Source organism: Homo sapiens, chromosome 22 (assembly GCF_000001405.40).
Source record: "Homo sapiens chromosome 22, GRCh38.p14 Primary Assembly".
Classification (NCBI taxonomy): domain Eukaryota; kingdom Metazoa; phylum Chordata; class Mammalia; order Primates; family Hominidae; genus Homo; species Homo sapiens.
The window spans coordinates 21606755-21621165 of NC_000022.11; the positions used below are offsets into that span (position 1 = coordinate 21606755).

The window sequence follows — 14411 nt, forward strand, 5'->3', positions numbered from 1 at the left end:
GGGAGGATTGCTAGAGCCCGGGAAGTCAAGGCTGCAGTGAACCGTGATTGCACCTCTGCACTCCAGCCTGGGTGACTCCCCACAGATGAATATGCTGACAGTGGTTTCAGCTGCTCGGTGGTGATTCAGACCTGGACGCGTGGCTTCAGTAGCCCTGGGGCCACACTGCCTGCCCGCAGCCTCCTGTCTTGCTCTATGCTATTCCTTCCAAGTCCCTGCCATCTAGTCTTTAGTCCTCTCTGCCTGGGAGGCCTCTTCCACTCCTCAGCCTTATGTCATCTTATCCATCCTTTAAGGCCCTTGCTCCATGCCTCCCCTCCCAGGGCAGGGCTTGGATGTAGGAGAATGTGGAGAACTGGCGCACGCCAGCCTTGCTCCCCAGCAGAGGAGCTCTGTTTACTGGAGTGCGTACTTAGGCCACGGCTTGAAGATATGGGGCTGGGGTGTAGGGCTGTCAAGATTGTTCCTGGGGCCAGGTGCAGTAGTTCACTCCTGTAATCCCAACACTTTGGGAGGCCGAGGCCGGCAGTTCACCTGAGGTCAGGAGTTCAAGACCAGGCTGGCCAACATGGTGAAACCCCATCTCTACTAAAAATACAAAAAAAAAAAAATTAGTCGGGCAGGGTAGCGGGTACCTGTAATCCCAGCTACTTAGGAGGCTGAGGTGGGAGAATTGCATGAACCAGGGAGGCAGAGGTTGCAGTGAGCTGAGATCGCGCCACTGCACTCCAGCCTGGGCGACAGAGCGAGACTCCGTCTTAAAAAAAAAAAAAAAAAAAAAAAGATTGTTCTTGGGCTCTCTGTGAAGCTTGGATTTCTTTGGGTTGGGTGTGCCATGGCAAGTGCCATGGCAGACCTGGGTGAGGGAAAAGGGAGTACAATGGGAAGGGCTTCCCCAGCTCTGGAGATAGGTAGGGTTGGGGAGAGGCCAAAAGACTCTTTGCTGAGTCATCTCTCAGGCTCCTGGGGCCATCAGAGTGTCCAGGCCCCAAAGGTGGTTTTCGGGTGGTTCTAGGGGCAAGGGGCTAGGGCATGGTGCTGGCCCTGCCTGGTGATCACCTGTTGAGTGACCAGCTCAGGTCCCCAGGGTCCAGCCATTGAGCTGACTACTGTTTCTACCCTGGGAAGATTGAGCTGGCCAGGACTTGGCATCAAGGCAGTTATTTGGACTTCTAGTACTCACAGTGTATTCTGGTTGGGTTGTAACTTACCTCTGGTACAACTCTACTTGTATCTTCAGAAAAGATCAAGAGATATTTGCAAAAACATAATATGATAAAGGACTGTCTAAAGGACAAAGAACACTTAAAACTCTATAATAAGAAAACAACAATAAATAACACCGTGCATCTCTTAGAATGACCAAAATCCAGAACACTGCCAAATGCTGCTGAGGACGTAGAGCAACAGGAACTCTCGCTCTTTCCTGGTGGGAATGCAAAATGGTGCAGCCACCTTGGAAGACAAGTTAGGCGGTTTCTTTCATTTATTTATTCATAAAATCTTTTTAACAAAGAAATTGAGTCTCTCTCTTGCCCAAAATGGAGTGCAGAAGCGTGATCACAGCTCATTGCATTCTCAAACTCCTGGGCCTAAGAAGTCCACCCTTCTTAGCCTCTGAAGTAGCTGAGACTACAGGCACATGCCACCATGCCAGGCCAATATATTTATTTTGTTATTATTTTTTGAGATGGAATCTTGCTCTGTCACCCAGGCTGGAGTGTAGTGGCGCAACCTCAGTTCACTGCAATCTCTGCCTCCCGGGTTTAAGCAATTCTCCTACCTCAGCCTCCCAAGTAGCTGGACTACAGGCGTGCACCACTACGCTCTGCTAATTTTTTTGTATTTTTAGTAGAGACAGGGTTTTACCACGTTGGCCAGGCTGGTCTTGAACTCCTGACCTCAAGTGATCTACCCAGCTTAGCCTCCCAAAGTGCTGGGATTACAGGTGTGAGCCACTGAGCCTGGCCCAGGCTAATATATTTAATTTTTTTTTTTTTTTTTTTTTGTAGAGATGGGGTCTTGTTATGTTTCACAAACTGGTCTTGAACTCCCGGCCTCAAGTGATCCTCCCTCCCTGGCCTCCCACAGTGCTCAGATTACAGACATGAGTCACTGCTCCTGGCCCAGTTTGGCAGTTTTGTTTTGTTTTTTTTTTGAGACTCAGTCTCGCTCTTTCGTCCAGGCCAGACTGCAGTGGCGCAATCTCCACTCACTGCAAGCTCCGCTTCCCAGGTTCACACCATTCTCCTGCCTCAGCCTCCTGAGTAGCTGGGACTACAGGCGCCCACCACCACGTCCAGCTAATTTTTTTTTGTATTTTTAGTAGAGACGGGGTTTCACTGTGTTAGCCAGGATGGTCTCGATCTCCTGACCTCGTGATCCACCTGCCTTGGCCTCCCAAAGTGCTGGGATTACAGGCGTGAGCCACCGCGCCCGGCCGGCAGTTTCTTACAAAACTAAACATATGTCTTACCATTGGATCCAGCAATTACATTCCTTGGTATTTAGCCAAATGAATTGAAAACTTGTATCCACACAGATGCTTATAACAGCTTTATTCATTAATTGCTAAGGTTTGAAAGCAACCAAGATGTCCTTCAGTGGGTTAATGGATAAATAAATTGTGGTATATCTAGACAAATGACATTCAACACTAAGAAGAAATGAGTCTGGGTGCAGTGGCTCACACCTGTAATCCTAGTACTTTGGGAGGCCGAGACAGGCAGATCTCTTGAGCCCAGGAGTTTGAGACCAACCTGGACAACATAGCAAAACCCAGTCTCTATAAAAATACAAAAAAATTAGCTGGGGGTGGTGGTGCCTATCTGTAGTCTCAGCTACTTGGGAGGCTGAGGTGGGAGGATTGCTTGAGCCTGTGAAGTCAAGGTTGCAATGAGCCAAGATCACGCCACCATCCAGTGGGCAACAGAGCAAGACCCTGTCAAAAATAAATAAGTAAGTATGAAGTGGGGGAAAAACAAGTAACGGCTGGGCACAGTGGCTCACGCTTATAAACCCTGCATTTTGGGAGGCCGAGGCAGGCAGATCACTTGAGGTCAGGAGTTCAAGACCAGCCTGGCCAACATGGTGAAACCGCATGTCTACTAAAGATACAAAAATTAGCTGGGCATTGAGGCGGGTGCCTGTAATCCCAGCTACTTGGGAGGCTGAAGCAGGAGAATTGCTTGAACCCAGGAGGCGGAGGTTGCGGTGAGCCAAGATCGTGCCATTGCATTCTAGCCTGGGCAACAGACTCTGAAAAAATAATAATAATAAAAAGAACAAATAGCTTCTAACGACAAATTTATTTCTCACTTATTGAGGCTGGGAAGTCTGAAGATCAAGGTGCCAACAGATTCAGTGGCAACTGAGGGCCGGCTTCATGGTTTATAGATGGTGCCTTTTCACTGTGTCTTTATATGATGGAAAGGGCAAGGCAGTTCTCAGGGGCCTCTTTGATAAGGACACCAATCCCATCATGACCTAATCACTTCCCAATGGTCCCAACTCCTAATACCATCACATTGGTGATTAGGTTTCAACATAAGATTTTTGGGGAGATACATTCAGACATAGCAGCTACATATTGCATGATTCCAGCTATCATGTCTGATAACCACACAAAACCTATAGAATGTGCAACACCAAGTATGAGCCCTAACATAAACTAGGGAAGCTGAGTGGTAATGATGTGTTAAGGTAAAAGGTTCATTGGTGGTAACAAATTTGCCCCTCTGGTGAGGGATGCTGATAGTGGGAAAAGCTGTGTGTGTTCAGGGGCAGGGGGTATTTAGGAATTCTCTGTCCTTTCCTCTCAGTTTTGCTGTATACCTAAAGGTGTTCTAAAAAGTAAAGTCTATTTTTTAAAAAAGTATGAAGAGACCAGGACATCAATCTCAAGCCCCTTCTCAGTTTAGCAGATAGCTTGCTCTAGAAATACTTTTGGGTGGCTGGGTTGTCCTGAAGGTGGCAGGGCTTCAGTTGATACTTGAATCCCTTGAAATAAATTGATTTTTCAGATAAACAATTAAAACATTCCTGTCTTGGCCATAGGTTTATGAACCATGGTGTGTTCATTTTGATCTCTCTTTCCTTCCAGGACAACCCTCCATATGATAAGGGAGCCTTCAGAATCGAAATCAACTTTCCAGCAGAGTACCCATTCAAACCACCGAAGATCACATTTAAAACAAAGATCTATCACCCAAACATCGACGAAAAGGGGCAGGTCTGTCTGCCAGTAATTAGTGCCGAAAACTGGAAGCCAGCAACCAAAACCGACCAAGGTAAGACATGTGCCTGTGTCTTCCTCGGAGGGGGTCTTTGGGGGTGCTGCTCTGGGGTGGGGGCTTCTGGTACCAGATCAGACAGAATCCAGAGAATCTTTCAGGTACACGAAAAATGTAGCTGAGGTCCTGTCAGACCTTGTGGGAATGGCTCATCTCAGCTGAACTTTTGACCTGTATAGGGTTTGAGGAGGCCTTTCCAGTGCTCAGCCCTGGGCTGCCATCCACAGTGGGAACACACATGGACAGACAAGCCCAGTGGCTTGCTGCTGGTGCAGAGAGGTGCAGGCACTGGTCCCTGGAAGGGATGAAGGACTGTGGGGCTGCCTACAAGGGGAAGGGAGAGTGGGATTTAAGGTGGCCTCATGCAGTAGTTAGTGCCTGAACTCAGACTTGAAGGAGGAAAGGAGGTTGGAGAGGGCCTTCCAGGCTATAGGAAGGGCATGGGCTAGAGCCTAGTTGCTCGGGTGATGTGAGGGGAGGGACAGAGGCAGATGTAAGGGCAGTATTCCCAGATGAAGGCACGTAGTTGGCTTTAGTGGGCCTGGGATTCCCTGGAGTTGGATGTGGCTGTGCGTGGTGCACATGTCTGTGTGTGGCTGTGTGAACATAAACATGCTCATTCTTCTGGGAAGAATATTTGAGTCAGTATTGTGGTTGTCCTCCCTTTTGTCCCCTAGAAGTGACTAGTTTGTTATGGACTGTGTCTGGTTTTCATTTAATTCTAGACTTTCTTTTGAAGTCCTAATCTCATATTTTGATGGCTTCCTTTTAAGTACCTAAACCAGTATAAAGTCTGTTTAGATTAGAGTGGATGAAGCTGGCACTTGAGAGGCTGCAAGTGGAGGGTTTCTTTTAGGGGTGCTGCTCTAGGGTAGGGGCTCATGGGTCCTTCCTGATGCCAGATCAGACGGAGTCCAGAGAACTCCTACCTTACCAGGTGCACGCAAAGTATGGCTGAGGTGCCACCAGTCCCTGTGGGAATAACTCAGCTGAACTTTTGACCTGCACAGGGATTGAGGAGGTCCCTTGTTTTAGTGATTGAAAAAAGCCTTGGAAGGTGGAGTTCAAAGCCTTGCGCAAGAAAAATCAAGCCTCACTTGTTGGAAGTAATCACCATGAAAGGTGCCCATTAGACTCCCACACTGAGTAGAAGAAAGGAGTGGGTGCTAAACATTCAGTCAGGGCAGAACAGTCTCTAGTGGGCTTGGTCCTTGTTTGTGTACAAGCTGATGTTTATAAAAGCTTGACACAGTTCTTCTCAGTGCCTGGTTTTTTCTTTTCTTTTCTTTTCTTTTTTGGAAACGGAGTCTCGCTCTGTCACCAGGCTGGAGTGCAGTGGCGCGATCTCTGCTCACTGCAACCTCCGCCTCCCGAGTTCGCGCCATTCTCCTGCCTCAGCCTTCCGAGTAGCTGGGACTACAGGCACCCGCCACCACGCCCGGCTAATTTTTTGTATTTTTAGTAGAGACGGGGTTTCACCATGTTAGCCAGGATGGTCTCGATCTCCTGACCTCGTGATCCGCCCGCCTCGGCCTCCCAAAGTGCTGGGATTACAGGCGTAAGCCACCGCACCCAGCCGATTTTTTCTTTTCTTTTCTTTTTTTTTTTTTTTTTTTTTTTTTTTTGAGACGGAGTCACCCAGGCTGGAGTGCAGTGATGCCATCCCAGATCACTGTAACCTCCGCCTCCCGGGTTCAAGCAATTCTCCTGCCTCAGCCTCCTGAGTAGCTGGGATTACAGCCACCACGCTCGGCTAATTTTTGTATTTGTAGTAGAGACGGGGTTTCACCACGTTGACCAGGCTGGTCTCGAACTCCTGACATTAGGTGATCCACCTGCCTCAGCCTCCCAAAGTGCTGGGATTACAGGCATGAGCCATCATGCCCGGCGAGCCTGGTTTTTTTCTGTACAGATTCCTAGCACTGTCGAAAACCTATAGCTGCATTTGATCAAGAGTGTTCAGTAATTCCTGGAGTCCTTGCCGAGTCATGTCTGTTAACCCATCGTGCCTGGGGAGTGGCAGTCCTTCCAGGCCAGGTTGCCCAGGAAAGCCCTGCACCTCAGGTTCTGGCCACAAAGAGTTCTGAGGCTCCTCCCTTACCTGTAGACTGAGAGGGTGGGGCTAGGGCCAGGGAGGCTCTCAGGAGATGGATGCACGTGCTTTGCCACCTCTCATGGGGCTGCTGCATAGAAGGCCGTGGCAGGGTTATTCACTTTTTACCTTCCTATCCAGGTGCACTGCCAAAATGCTCTGCTTTTTCAGACTGTGGCTGCTTCTCCCCCACCCCCAAGAGCCAAATAACTTAGGGGCAGCTTTTAATTTTTTTTTGTAAAAAGTACTGTTGACTTGGGATTTTTAAGGTAAAAATTTTGGTACAGGAGCTATTCTGTGTGCCATGATGGACAGAACTGGAATTGCTATTTTGTGATTTGGGACAGTTGAGGATTCCTTCCTAGAACATTATTATGTAGATTGTTTGTGGCATGGCCTTGATCCCCATCCTCACATACATCAAGAATGTTGTTCCTTGCACTTGACGGCCACATTCCCATGTTTGTTATCTATTACTGCATTATAACCCCTATCAAAACTTTGTGGCTTAAAGTAATACCAGTTTATTAGTTTTTACTCTGGAGGTTGGCTGGGCTTAGCTACATGGTTCTACAGCTGACTGTTCATTCCTGGGGTCACTCATGCAGCTGTATTGAGGTGGGAACTCAACTTGGCTGGGAAGAGCTGGTAGGCATAGTGCACATGTGCGGAAATGGTATTAGCTAAGGCACTTCGGTTCTCTTTGTGTTCTCTTATTTTCCACAAGGCTACATTGGACCCCTTCATAGCATGGTGGTCTCAGGGTTCCAGGGTGAAGGCATAGAACTGGTACGGTGTCACTTCTGTGGATTCTTTTGGTCAGGCAAGTCCAGATTTAATGAGAGGGAAAATAGACTTCAGCTCTTGATGGGAGGAGTATGCAGGATGGGAGACATGATGGCAGAGGTGGGACAGGCAGGCAAGGTTGCTGAGTCCCCTTGCTGCCTCCTCAGGCCCACTTGGGCCTGCTTTTCCCAAATGGCAGCTCCTCTGGACATGCCATTCCTTCTCCCACCTGCCTGATTCTTCATATGTTGGGTGTCCCTGTTTTTCTGGTGCTATTTCCTGACTGCTGTTCAGCTGCCACTGTCCTGCAAAGCCTGCCTTTTTAAATGCCTCACCATTCCTTCATTTGTTTCTTAAATATGGGAAGTGAAAGTGCCACCTGAGGCCGGGCACAGTGGCTCACGCCTGTAATCCCAGCATTTTGGGAGGCTGGGGCAGGCAGATTGCTTGAGCCAAGGAGTTTGAGACCAGCCTGAGGAACATGGTGAAACCCCGTCTGTACCAAAAAAAAAAAAAGAAAGAAAGAAAGGGAAAAAGCCACTTGTGCCACCCTCCTGCTGTAATCTTCCAGCGCTCTTCCTTTGTCTCCAGAGCACCTGCTCATGATTTTTGTCTCCTGCCCTTGTCCTTAGAAACTTCAGCGTTCCCAATTATGGCTTCTCTCAGATCCAGCCTTGAAGTTCTTTGACCTCCTCAATTCACAACCTGTAGCTGACTTTAGCCACCCACAAGTACAGAAAAGTAAGCATAATGGAAGAAATAGTAATATGAAAAGATGCTCATATGACCCAGCAATTCCACTCTTAGCTATATCTACCCAAGAGAAATGAAAACATATGCCCAATAAAAACTTGTACACAGATGTTCATAGCACCATTATTCACAATGGATAAGAAGTGAAAAGAGCCCAAATGTCCATCAATTGGTGAGTGAATAAACAAAATGTGAGCCAGGCGTGGTGGCTCACGCCTGTAATCCCAGCACTTTGGGAGGCTGAGGCGGGTGGATCACCTGAGGTCCGGAGTTCAAGACCAGCCTGGCCAACATGGTGAAACCCTGTCTCTACTAAAAATACAAAAAATTAGCTGGGTGTGGTGGCGGGCGCCTGTAATCCCAGCTACATGGGAGGCTGAAGCTGGAGAATCACTTGAACCTGGGAGGCAGAGGTTGCAGTGAGCCAAGATTGTGCCATTGCACTCCAGCCTGGGCAACAAGAGCCAAACTCCGTCTCAAAACAAAACAAAACAAACAACAAAAAATGGTGTATCTCTACAATGAAATATTATTTAGCCATAAAAAGCAATGAAGTACTGTCTTATGGTACATAAACCTTGAAAATATGCTAAATGGGCCGGGCGCGGTGGCTCACGCCTGTAGTCCCAGCACTTTGGGAGGCCAAGGCGGGCAGATCACAAGGTCAGGAGATTGAGACCATCCTGGCTAACATGGTGAAACCCTGTCTTTACTAAAAATAAAAAAAATTAGCCGAGCTTGGTGGCAGGCGCCTGTAGTCCCAGCTACTCGGGAGGCTGAGGCAGGAGAATGGCGTGAACCTGGGAGGCGGAGATTGCAGTGAGCCGAGATCACGCCACTGCACTCCAGCCTGGGCGACAGAGCAAGACTCCGTCTCAAAAAAAAAAAAAAAGAAAGAAAATATGCTAAATGAAAGAACCATCCATGGAAGGCCACATATTGTATGATTCCATTTGTAGTTGAGCCTCATTGTTCATAGAGTCTGCGTTTGCGAATTTGCCTACTCACTAAAGTTTTTTGTAGCCCCAAAATCAATACTCTCGGCACTCGTCTATCACAGATGTGTGCGTGTGCAGAGCAGCAAAAAATTTGAAGTACCCCATGCACGTGTTCCAGCTGAGGTTGTGTGGTTGAACAGTGCGATGCCCTGCCTTCTTGTTTCAGCTCTCAACTGAAGCAAGTGGGCTGTCTAATGCCAAACTTCTTGGATTTTGTGCTTTTTGTTGGTGATTTTGCTTTGGCCCCAAACGTGGTGCTGAAGTGCTGTCTAGTATTCCTGAGCACAGAAGGTCATGATATGCCTTTTGGAGAAAATACATGTGTGAGATAAGCTTTATTTGGGCATGAGTTATAGTGCTGCTGAGTCAATATTACCTATTAAATAAGGTGTCTTTAAACACACATAAAACAAAGTTATATATTAATCAGCTGGCAAAAATGTGAGCAGAGGCTTGTTTGAACCTAAACCTCTGTTTCCCTTAGGAGCAATGATTCAGTATCATTAATTCAATGTTCATGGCAAGTTTATAGAACATAAGCACTACAGATAAAATTCAGCTGTATATGGGATGCTCAGACTAGGGTGGATCCATTGAGACAAAGTAGATTAGTGATTGTCAGGGTCTAGGAGGAGGAGAATAGGAAGTGACTACTGAGAGTGGGTTTTCTTTTTGGGGGATGAAAATGTTCCAGGCTGGGCGTGGTGGGTCACGCCTGTAATCCCAGCACTTTGGGAGGCCGAGGTGGGCGGATCACAAGGTCAAGAGATCCAGACCATCCTGGCCAACGTGGTGAAACCCCGTCCCTACTAAAAATACAAAAAAAATTAGCTGGGCACGGTGGCGTGCACCTGTAGTCCCAGCTACTCAGGAAGCTGAGGCAGGAGAATCACTTGAACCCGAGAGGCGGAGGTTGCAGTGAGCTGAGATCACGCTACTGCACTCCAGCCTGGGTGACAGAGTGAGAGCGAGACTCCATCTCCAAAAAAAAAAAAAAAAATTAGCCAGGCGTGGTGACAGGCACCTGTAATCCCAGCTACTTGGGGGGCAAAAAAACAAAACAAAACACCCCCCCCCTTTTTTTAAAGCACATTCCATGGAAGGCTACAACATTGCATATCTTTTTGGGTTGAAGGTACATTGACATTTTATTCTTTGACAATGAAGCTCCCTGGATTTTTATGAAAAGGAGGGGAAATCACAAATATTGTTTACATCCGCTATTGCAGAGAAACTGTCATTAAGAACAAAAGGGCCAGGCACGGTGGCTCATGTCTGTAATCCCAGCACTTTGGGAGGCCGAGGCGGGCAGATCACGAGGTCAGGAGATCGAGACCATCCTGGCTAACACGGTGAAACCCCGTCTCTACTAAAAACACCAAAAATTAGCCGGGCGTGGTTGCGGGCACCTGTAGTCCCAGCTGCTGCCACTGCACTCCAGCCTGGGCAACAGAGCGAAACTCTGTCTTAAAAAAAAAAAAAAAAAAAGAAAAGGAACAAAAGGAAGGAAATATTATAGGCTTTATTCTCTGATGAGAATATAGTGAGAGTAAAAGGTAAAATTGGCTAATTTGTTGTGTGGGTTTTTTGTTTTTTGTTTTTTGTTGGGGGGACAGAGTCTCACTTTGTCACCCAGGCTGGAGTGCAGTGGCATAATCTTGGCTCATTGCAACCTCCGCCTCCTGGATTCAAGCATTTCTCCTCCCTCAGCCTCCCGAGTAGCTGGGACTACAGGCGCATGCCACCACACCTGGCTAGTTTTTTGTATTTTAGTAGAGACAAGGTTTCACCATATTGCCCAGGCTGGTCTTGAACTCCTGAGCTCAGACAGTCTGCCCACTTCGGCTTCCCAAAGTGCTAGGGTTACAAGTGTGAGCTGCTGCGCCCGGCCTGTTGTATGTTTTTAAGCCCCTACATTTTGCAGAAAAAAAAAGTACTTCTGAGGAGCATTTGGGTCATGGAAGAGACCAAGAACCCAGGGCTGGATGTTTTATAAAATATAATTTTAATATGCTGTCCTATATATGAAAAATGTTGATAGAGGGCCACAGTTGTAATTTGTAAAGCAGACAATCTGTCAGGTGTTCTTACTAGCAAAATAAGTTCAGCTCAGCTGAAGTTTATTATAGTTTAGCTAAGGAGCCAGAAATGCACCCAGGGGAACAGCGAAAGAATGAAATACTTATCAGAACTACTAAGTAAATTTAAAAATACTCAGACTTGAGGCCGGGCATGGTGGCTCATGCCTGTAATCCCAGCACTTTGGGAGGATGAGATGGGTGGATCATGAGGTCAGGAGATCAAGACCATCCTGGGTAACATGGTGAAACCCCATCTTTACTAAAATTACAAAGAATTAGCAAGGCGTGGTGGCGGATGCCTGTAGTCCCAGCTACTGGGGAAGTTGAGGCAGGAGAATCCCTTGAACCCAGGAGGTGGAGGTTTCAGTGAGCTGAGATTGTGCCACTGCACTCCAGCCTGGGCGACAGAGTGAGACGCCATCTCAATTAAAAAAAAAATTCAGACTTGATCAAATTAGTGAAACTATAAAAAATAACGAAATAGACAAATGGCATCTTTTGAGAAATAGGTCTTTAAATTTTTATTTTGCCAGGTGCAGTGGCTCACGCCTGTAATCCAGCACTTTGGGAGGCGGAGGCAGGTGGATCACGAGGTCAGGAGATCGAGACCATCCTGGCTAACACGGTGAAACCCCGTCTCTACTAAAAAATTACAGAAAATTAGCCGGGCATGGTGGCAGGTGCCTGTAATCCCACTACCCGGGAGGCTGAGGCAGGAGAATGGCATGAGCCTGGGAGGCGGAGCTTGCAGTGAGCCGAGATTGTGAGCTGTGATTGTGCCACTAACTCAGCCTGGGCGACAGAGCGAGACTCCATCTCAAAAAATATATATATATATTATTTTTTTTTTGCGATAGGGTCTTGCTGTGTCACTCAGGCTGAGTATAGTGGCACAATCACAGCTCACTACAGCCTCAATATTGTGGGCTCAAGCAATCATCCCACCTCAGCCTCCCAAGGAGCTGGGACTACAGGCATGTGCCACCACAACCGGCTAATTTTATTTTTTATTTTTTGTAGAGGCCAGGTCTTGCTATGTTGCCCAGGCCAGTCTCAGACTCCTGGCCTCAAGTGATCCTTCCTCCTTGGCCTCCCAAAGTGCTGGGAATACAGGTGTGAGCCACCAACCTCTGCATTAGTTACCAAGGTGATGATAGTGAGAAGTAGAGAGCCTAAGTATTCATATCAGAGAGTGAGGTGAAAACTCCTGAGCGTGCCCCTAACGAAGTACTCAGCCTGTCCTTAGCCCAGTGAGGTTTCTAAAATGCTAATGCGGTAGTAATTCTCCTGTTACAGGGCCATTTCTAATCATGGGAAAGGAAGGGGAGCCACCTATTTGTGCTCTTAGGCGACTGTGGCTCAATTTCCAGCCCTGAAGTCAAGAACAGCCAGGAAAAGGGAGCAGTCTCACACCGAGGGTGGTGTGCACTGAAATACACTGTGGCCAGTCAGCCAAGGGTGGGCTTCGTTTATTAAATAAATAAATAAATGTTTATTAAATAAAAATATACCTCCAGGGCCTGCTGCCTCTAGAGGTACAGGTGGCTTGTACAGGGAGGTGATACCACCTACCCCTGAAGAGGCTTAGAGACTGAATTAGAGGCCACCCTGGCCTGCAGAGAGCTTTCCAGGCCCCTTGCCCCTGCTTGCTGTTCACAGTCCACCCTCCTTGCCCATCCACCCCCAACAAACGTGGAACCTGTCAGCATTGCATGCGCAATGCCCTCCTCGCCTCTGCCCCACTGCTTCACCTCTACCCACTGTGGTCACAGGAGCCCTCTCTTTCCCATTCTCACCAGGCACAGTAAAAAGCAGAGGTTAGGCAGGTGGGTTTTGGACACCAGGCCAGGAGTACTTTGTGCTGTGGCCCTCACTTAATGTGTGCTGTTGAATGATTATGCCTTTGCATATGACTCAGCCAGCATCAGCATTTTGTTTTATTTATTTACTTTTGAGACAGAGTCTCGCTCTGTTGCCCAAGCTAGAGTGCAGTGGCACGATCTCGGCTCACTGCAACTGCCGTCTCCCGGGTTCAAGCGATTCTCCTGCCTCAGCCTCCTGAGTAGCTGGGACTCTAGGCATGGGCCACCATGCCTGGCTAATTTTTGTATTTTTAGTAGAGACGGGGTTTCACCATGTTGCCCAGGCTGGTCTTGAGCTCCTGACCTCAGGTGATCTGCCTGGCTAGCATTTGCATTTTAATCCATTTCTTGTAATGCTGAATGAACAATATGAGCCCTTAATAAAGGAATTGACCAGGTGCAGTGGCTTCATGCCTGTCATCCTAGCACTTTTGGGAGGATGAGGCGGTAGGATCACTCAAGCCCAGGAGTTTGAGACCAGCCTGGGCAACATAGTGAGACCCCATCTCTACAAAAAACTAGGCCAGGAGCAGTGGCTAACACCCGTAATCCCAACTACTCTCAAGGCCAAGGTGGGAGGATTGTTTGAGCCCAGGAGATAAGACTGCAGTGAGCTGTGATTGCACCACTGTACTCTAGCCTAGGTTAAAAAAAAAAATTAGCTGGACGTGATGGCATGTGCTTGTAGTCTCAGCTACTCAGGAAGCTGAGGCAGGAGGATCATTTACACCCAGGAGTTTGAGGGTACCGTGCAGTAAAGTATGATTGAGCCACTGCACTCCAGTCTGAGTGACAGCAAGACTGTCTAAAAAAAATAAGAAGGAATTTGTGGCATCAGCAGTTCGGAGAAGAGGGGCACTGTTTTACAGTGGGAAGGAACATTCTGAGGGTGCTGGTCCTGACAGGGTCAGGGGGCAACTGTGGCAAAGTATGTGAGGAGGTGTGGGTAGCAGCTGCTTCTGATTCCCCACTATCCTTCCACCCTGGGGCACGTCTGGGCTACGGCACCTAGGGGGAGTACTGTGGCACCCATCAGAGCCATCAGCGTGACATCTGCCTGTGGTCTTGACAATGTGATGCGATGGCGGTTGTCAGCTTCCCATTGGCTGGCCCCAGTGACCCTTTCTAGAGGGTTCAGAAACTCCTAAGGGTCTTCCAGAGTTGGGTCATTGCGCATTGACAAGTGCAGCGCCATCACATACCCTTCTCTCTAGTGCCCACTCAGTCACCTTAACCGAAACTTCCCTGAGCCGAGCATGGTGCTGGGTGCTGGGCTGATGCAGGGAAGTTCTACCCGGTCCTGCCCTGAAGAAAGTGACCCTGTGTGCATGCATGAGAGTGAGCAGTCAGTTCAATACTAGGCCTCCTATCTCCAGAGTACACAAGAGGACTGGATTAGCCGGGCATGGTGGTGCACGACTGTAGTCCTGGCTACTTGGGGGACTGAGGCTGGAGGATTGCTTGAGGTCAACCCAGGAGGTTGAGGCTGCAGTGAGCCAAGATGGTGCCACTGCACTGCAGCCTAGGTGACAGAGTGAGACCCTGTC

General features: G+C 48.1%; 1 protein-coding gene across 5 annotated transcripts in view; it reads left to right on the forward strand.

The window, feature by feature from the left end:
- The window catches only part of UBE2L3 (ubiquitin conjugating enzyme E2 L3), a 74588-nt gene that overhangs the window by 57308 nt on the left and 2869 nt on the right, over nucleotides 1-14411 (forward strand). For 4 of the 5 annotated variants that reach the window (NR_046082.2, NM_001256355.1, NM_003347.4 and 1 more), the window contains one exon: nucleotides 4103-4289. Coding sequence is in view for 3 of the 5 variants with exons in the window: in NM_001256355.1 (NP_001243284.1) it covers nucleotides 4103-4289 (187 nt within the window). In the remaining 2 variants the exon portion in view is untranslated. Of the gene's footprint in view, nucleotides 1-4102; nucleotides 4290-7802; nucleotides 7912-14411 lie in introns of all 5 variants that reach the window. The other variant, NR_028436.3, reaches the window with a different exon arrangement.